The 7,932-nt window shown below is 43.0% G+C and overlaps 1 annotated feature.

Annotated features, from left to right (window-relative positions):
* Window positions 376–905: an enhancer, noted in NCBI's record as "OCT4-NANOG hESC enhancer chr2:7330592-7331121 (GRCh37/hg19 assembly coordinates)". NCBI's record gives its function as "activates a minimal SCP1, AML or CMV promoter by ChIP-STARR-seq in naive H9 embryonic stem cells {active_cell/tissue: H9 hESC(naive)}" and the evidence as "EXISTENCE:reporter gene assay evidence [ECO:0000049][PMID:30033119]".

Here is a 7,932-nt window from a genome sequence, read left to right as displayed (position 1 = left end):
TTGGTGTGCTCACAAAAAGAAAGCATCCTTAAAGCAAGGAATCATGGAGATGACCTCATCATGCATTTCTTAGAGTGGATGGGACTGTCCATCTCTCCTGGGTTCCAGTTTTAATTAAAGGCAGCTTGCAGTGTAACATCACCCTCACAGCCTGCTAAAGCTTAAGACTCTGAGATTACATACAAGGCACGTGAGTAGGGGAATGGGGGGGAAATAGAGTAAATAGGTGATTTCTGGTACAAATGGGGAAAGAATGAGTTTAGGGATGACTCATTTTTTCCTCCTCAATACTATCATATTCACCCAGAAATAGCAAATTTCAGCATTCAACTCATCTAGACTGCTTGTTGAAACCCCAAAGTGACAATTATTTGAAAGTCATGCCCCTTCAACATGATTTTTGTTTAATGTGGGATAAGGTGAAGCACAATCCACCTCAAGACCAAATACACTCAGAAGCAAGCCAGAATGCAAATGTTTGCCATCATTCTCATCACATCAGCTACAAAGACACAAGATGGATATGATAGCAGGAGCTTCTGCCAGACATCTACTCACAGCAGCCTCCCTGGGACAAACTCCGTGTGGCATCATGACACTTCATTGTGCATGGCCTCACAGAGGGAATCCTTTGTTGTTTGGGCTAAGACTGCAAAAGGCTGAGCTGCCTCGCTGGGGTAGAGTCAATACACTTGCTGATCACCAGCTGTGTCCTACGATGTGCTTCACACAACATTTCCATAATCTTTAATACTTCCTCGCATGGCAAATACTGTGACCCCATTTTTACAAGGAGGATACTGAGACTTGGAGAAGTCTAAACAGCAGAGCAGAAATTCAATTTCAGATCAGTTTTATCCTCAAAATTTACATTCTTTGCAAATCACTGTGTTGTCTCCTAAGTGTTTTTCTGGTATGTACCATCTTGCTTTTTGATGATTTTTTTCTTAAGAAATGGAAATCCCCAAACAGGAGGCAGCACATGCGGGGAAAAGAGAACCATTTGGGATTCAGACAACCTTGATTCTCATTCAGTCTCCATTATGACCTTTGGCAAGCAGTCGGAAGCTTCCATCTTCATTTCCTGATATGCCAAATGATGAGGAATGAGTAAACCTTCTCTTCCAGCTTCAACATTCTAGATTTCCTAAAGAGCTACTGTTTGCATAAATGAATGCAAATTAGCATTAATCTCCTTGAACTGATATTAACAAACTTTTTCTGTGCAAATAAGAGTCCAAGAAAAAAAATGCTGCACTTGGGTTTCTAAAATCTATCTAAAATGTTACAGAATCCAAATAGTTGGCCATTCTTGTCTAGCTTTCAGTCTCTGAACTAACATACTCTATTTTAAACGCAGGTTCAACTCCAGTCTCTCCTCATAGCCAAAACCAGCTGCTGTCTGGCATGCTCCTTTTAAATAGACTATCTTAAAGTCTAAAAAAAAAAAAAAGCTGAGCTCTTTTTTATATTGGAGAAGCCGCTTGTCACTACGGTGATTTACCTCTTCAATTTAGCACTTAATTGATAATACAAGCTGTAACCTGGCAGCTGGGGCACATTGCCCCTTGATGATTTAGGTAAACGGTCCTCAAACCCCCAGTTTCAAAGCCTTGGGAAAAAGATTCCTCAAATTCTGTCCTCCAGTTTCTATAAATCCCTAAGAACATAGTTGCCTAAATCCCCTCTGCCCCAGCCCTTTTTCGGAATGTTAGTGTTTATTTCACCTTGGGTTGCTCTCCACTCATTCACTAGTCTACAGACTCACACTCATGCCCACACAAACTCACTAATGTACACACTCATGCACACACATTCATGGACACACACACATTCATGCACTCACACACTTAACACATACACATTCACTCATGCACACACACACTCATGTGCACACACACTCATGCACACACATACTCATGCGCACACACACACTCATGCACACACTCATTCAAGGACACACACATACACACTCATGCACACACACACTCATTCACACACACTCATGCACACACACTCATTCAAGGACACACATACACATTCATGCACGCACACACGCGCGCACACACACGCGTGCACACACACATGCACACACACTCATTCAAGGACACACATACACACTCATGCACACACACGCACACATGCACACACACTCATGCACACATTCATTCAAGGACACACACTCATGCACACACACTCATTCAAGGACACACATACACACTCACTCATGCACACACACATGCATACACACTCATGCACACACACTCATTCAAGGACACACATACACACTCATGCCCACACACACTCATGCACTCACTCATGCCCACAGGATCCAATTGGCTGGCCTGCACTTGCTGAATTTCGCCTGAGATCTGGGGCTATAGAAAGGGTCGTGCAGATAGTATCCCGTTGCCTCGAGAGCTCTCTGAATTCCCTCCCTGAATTCCCTCTCCATTTGATTCTTCTTGCTTTTCCCCTTGATCTTTTTCATTCTCCCTCCTTCCCCTATGTGGCAACTTTCCTTTCTTTTTCTTTTTTTTTTTTTTTTTGAGACAGAGTCTCTCTCTGCCGCCCAGGCTGGAGTGCAGTAGCACAATCTCAGCTCACTGCAAGCTCCGCCTCCTGGGTTCACGCCATTCTCCTGCCTCAGCCTCCCAACTTTTCTTCCTTAACCACACTCCTGCTGACTCCCTGGCCTTGCCACATGGCACCCACCCTTCCCTCCTTCCCATGGTAACCATTCTGCCATTGTGGACCAGTGAGGGTCCTGACTGGAAACTCACAGCCCTCTCAAGCTGGGTGATTTGAGGCGCTTTTACTAAAATGACTATTTACAAATGTATGCAGAGCATTTGGGGAATGCACGAGGGATTATGCAGTGGCCCAAGGTGAGCAACAGCAGGAGATGTTGGCACCCCTGACTCTCGAAGGAGCCATGGGTAGGAGCAGATTCTAGACCTTGTAAAGGCTGCTTGAAAGGAACTGTGGCCCTCAGGAGAGGGACTCAGCCAACCACACAATCTGGGTGGCAGCAGGAGGAGAGGGCATCGATATGTAACAACTCCTGTGCCCCATATTCTCCCAGCATCTACACTAGTAAGCCCAACTAGCAGTCAGCCTCATAAACAATCCGTGTGACTCAGAGGAGGCAAAGATGTATGAAAATGTTCATATAAGCATGAAGGCCAGTTGCTGGTAAATGACCAGTTCCACAAATCCTGCTCCCACATTCTCCCTTCCAGTTTGTGCTGAATGTCCCTATTTTAGTCCGTTTTCATACTGCTATAAAGAACTGCCCAAGACTGGATAATTTAGAAAGGAAATAGGTTTAATTGACTCACAGTTCTGCATGGCTGGGAGGCCTCAGGAAACTTACAATCATGGCGGAAGGTGAAGGGGAAGCCAGGCACCTTCTGCACATGGTGGCAGGAAGGAAAATGAATGCAGGAGAAACTACCAAACACTTGTAAAATCATCAGATCTTGTGAGAACTCACTCACTCTGAGAACAGCATGGGGGAAACCGCCCCCATGATTCAATTATCTCCACCAGGTCTCTCCCTTGAAATGTGGGAATTATGGGGATTACAATTCAAGATGAGATTTTGGGTGGGGACACAGCCAAACTATGTAAGTCCCCTTTTCCCTAGTTCAGCAAAAGTGCAAGCTCTGCAAGTGGCCTGTTTGCACTTTTCCAATGGAAGCTGAGAGGAACATTTTCAAGGTAAGCTACAGAGTGAGCATAAGATACTTTACTATACTTTTAGATAGCCCAAAATAAGTTCCAGAAACAATTGCATCACATGCAAAAATCTCAGCATACTTTCTGCTTTTTGTCTGCCCTCATTTGATGTCTTCTAGACTGGCTCATTTAAAATGATGTAAGTACAATTGTTACTAATTTATATATATATATATACACACACACACACGTATGTAAATGAGAAAAATAGGGAGACATACACAGAAAAAGGTTAATCACCCTGGGACATACAGCTGGAAAGAATCAGACCCAGGACTCAACCCAGATCTGCCTTGCTCTTCGCCATGACTCTCCACATCATCCTGTCTGTCCCGGTGGCCACACGTAGTTCCTCATGCCCCAGCACAGGCTCTTCCCTGCTGAGAAAGCTGCTCCCTGCCTGACCCCTTCTCACTCTACCTTCAAGACCTCGCTTCCTCTGCCCATTGGACCTGCCAGTCTCTCATGCCCACAGATCTATTTGTAAAATCTCATGTCTGATTACATAGAACCCCCGCTCTAGATTCTTCCATGGCCCTGATCACTCTGTGTTATAACTCTGTGTATTGGCTATTGTGGCCAGTTTTCTACAAGTAACCGGATTTTTCCTCTGAATTTTATGGGATTTCTCCTCATTGGCACAATATGCAGGGCTCAGGGTTGTAGCACCCCTCATTATGTCGAATGACCCATCTCTACATGTTTGTTTCTCATCTCCAGGATTCTGGTCCATGTTGAAGAGTTTTCAACCAAGGGAGGAACCTCTCTGGCAGGGGACACAAGAACTGTGTCATCAAATTGAACCCTGAGACAGCCACAAGGCCAACTGGGGCTCTTTAAGCCCCTGGAGGTTAGGCTGATGTGAATAGAGTTCATGCTATTGGCTGCACTAATTGATCCCCTAATCCGGGGGAAAGAAGGTTGCTGTTGAACAACAGGAAACTCAGCAAACATGCAGACAATTTGGGGAATGGAGGGCTACTCAGTGGAGAAGGGGCATGAGCAGTTACTGCAGCTCCACAGACAGTGGAGGTGCCCTCAAGATTTTTGCAGTGCACAACCTACACAACTAAATATGGGAGGAAAAGAGCTGCCATATTCGGGACAGGGAGGAGGATTGGGATCCCTACCCAGAAAATGATGGCTAAAGTGTTGCCTAAATGCAAGGGGAACCTGGAAAGGGTAACAGAAGAAAACCACAAATGGAGGCTATGGCCTCAGGATGAAGAGTAGAATCAAGAACTGGGGTCTCTCCCTGGATTTCTTTGCTCTAGAATATACTTTTTAAAAATTCTACTTTATGCTCCTTGCTCACCTTCAACTTTTGTTTCTCTGGTGCCTTAGAACCAGGGAAAAGGTAAGAATAAAGTGCAGCGGAAGTTCAACAGAGGGTTCAGATGCAGGGACAGCCAGAAGAAGACTAAAAAGAGCCTTATCTACCAATCCTACTGCCTGCTAACAAAGTTACCAAAATGTTTCTACCATCACAAGTTCAAAGGAAATGGAAGCAGCTGTTCTGATGGAATTTTTTTTTTTTTTTTACTGAGAAAAAAAAGTTTGAAGTCCTTTTTCTCTCAGACAATGATGTGACTTAGAATCTAGGCCCTCTTGTTTGCTTGTTTTTCCAACCCGTGCTGAGAAAATTAGTATCTAAGGAAATCTTCCATTTCTGAAATGGCTCCAGGGAGAAAGAAAAAGAAAAACAGACTAATTCCAACTGTAGTCTAACCACACCATAGCTATGGTATTTCACCTTTTGTTTCATGCTTTTTTTCCTCTAAGATTTTAGGAAAAAATATTCAGGATTCCTTAGGTACATAAATGAAAATATATATAGTTAGTAAATTGAGTATGAAACGCCCAACTCCTTACACAGAAGAACATTCCAAGTAAAGTAAGCTCATTTCATATTCTGATCCTAAATGTTCAGACTGATTCTTTAACTATAAGGAAAAAAAAAATCTTCCAGTAAGAGAACTCACTTACTATGATTCAAATGAATGCAACTGAGGCAAATCAGCAAATTCACTTCTCAAACCCAGTTAAAAGTCCCATTTCTTTAAATTGAGGAGCATAATGGAAAATATAAATCCCAGAGAAAGATACAAGTTAAGAAAATAAGGCTTTCGATTCTATAATGCTTAGAACTGTATGGTACTTTATTATGCCTATGTGGTGGTGCCCTCGAGATTTTTGCAGTGTGCAACCTACACAACTAATTATGGGAGGAAAAGAGCTGCCACATTCTATCTCAACGTTGAGCAAGAATAAAAAATAATCTTTACATTTCTCACATAGATGTTAAAAGGCAATGTGAAATAGTGAAAGGAAAATAAACCCTTGTTTAAATCTTGGCAGTATACTCTTGGATGAATTAACTCAACTCTCTGTGTATTTGTCTTAGTCAACAAAATGGAGATGACAAAACCAAACCCAAAGAGACACGGTGAGAATTCAGTAACTATTGTAATGTATGTTCCCCATCTTCTGCCAAATGTACAACATAGTATGCATTTGAATGATATTGTTAATAAGCAGCGTTTAACACACTGTGACAATTTTTTATTCATTTACTTTACTTGAATTCTTTGAAATGTTGTTGTGAATGGAGAAGCATCCATCTCAATCACCGTGTGGTATACTTTCCTATTGTGCAAAAACCAGAAAGCTAAAACCCTAGACTCCTTTGAATCTAGGGTACTGGTTGTGAACGAATTTCTCCGAGTTAGATGCTCTGGTGCAAGAACTGGAAGTTGGAGGTGCTGTGGAGTCCACCTGCTTACGACTTCAGCTGTTGCTGGTGGTGAACACAGCCATGGAAACCTGGGGATTTTCTGCGGGGTGGTTTCAGGGTCCAGTCACTAGTTCACAGGTGTTGTGAGGTGGTTGTGGAAATGACAGCAAAGGTGGTGATCCATAGTTTACATCTTTGTGTTTAATTCAACAGTCCCAGAAGTAACTGGCCCGAGAGAATGATGGAAAGGCTTATAGATGTCTCAGTAATTGCAAAAGCTGAGGTCAACATGATTCCTACAAAGTGAATGGCATGTTTTGAATTAGGGATTAACATATGATAATGAGTTCCCACAGCCAGAATAAATGGGTCTGGAAACTCAGGGGTTACAGGAGGAATCGTATTTTCACTAACTCAACTAATGATTCACTCTCTCCTAAAGGTTTCACTGTTCTTCCCATGACTTTGAGCTCTGCTAGTTAGAGCTCTCATCACCCAATATGTGAATACTTCCACAAAGGTTGTACCACTGAACTGGACCACCAGGTGACATGGGACCAGCAGGCCAAAAAAGAGGGTCACTGTGTTGACCCAGGTCATTGATACTGATTTCTAAGGAGTAATAGCTTTGCTGCAACAGAACGCCAGCAGGAAAGGACGCTCTGAAATCCAGGAGATTCTCTGAAATTCCTCCACGAACCCCGTATACAGCTACAAAAGCTAACAGATGTTTTCAGCAGCCCATTATAGGCAGGACTACCCAGGGCTCAGCTTGTGAGGAAGGATGAGGTACCTCACCTCCCCAGGTATAAAGCCCTGACAAATTGGGCCAGAGAATGGGTAGTAAAGGAAGGAAGTTATTAATACCAAATATGGCTCTAAGAGTAGCTGCAGAAACAAAGACTTCAATAGCCTCCCCTAAGTTCTTCTCTATTCTATTCGTTTGTGCACATACTTATAATTGTTAAACAATTTCCTTTTCCTTCATCTATTTTCCATGTTGCTTGTTTATAAGGTATGTTGTTATAGTAAAACTGATTTAGCTTGAATGTTATGACTATAGGATTGCAGGGCAGTATCAAAATATACCACGATCCAGGGATGAGGCAGTAATTTATAGGACTCCGGGTCTCTCTTTTTTTTTTTTTTTTTTTTTTGAGATGGAGTCTCACTCTGTCACCAGGCTGGAGTGCAGTGGTGTGATCTCAGCTCACTGCAACCTCCACCTCCCAGATTCAAGCAATTCTCCTGTCTCAGCCTCCTGAGTAGCTGGGATCACAGGCACGCACCACCACGCCCAGCTCAGGTCTCCCTTTTTTTGAGACAGGTAAGTACATGTTACCTTGGGCAAGGGATAGTTACATTACATTAGGTGGGATATGCCTACTATGACGTTGTTATTGTGTGACCACTTAAATACGGGTGGCAAGAGGTATCAGATATGGAGTGGCAGTATG

Source organism: Homo sapiens, chromosome 2, assembly GCF_000001405.40.
Source record: "Homo sapiens chromosome 2, GRCh38.p14 Primary Assembly".
Taxonomy (NCBI): domain Eukaryota; kingdom Metazoa; phylum Chordata; class Mammalia; order Primates; family Hominidae; genus Homo; species Homo sapiens.
Note: the sequence above shows the minus strand (reverse complement) of the source record. Positions and strands in the feature narration are given on the sequence as shown.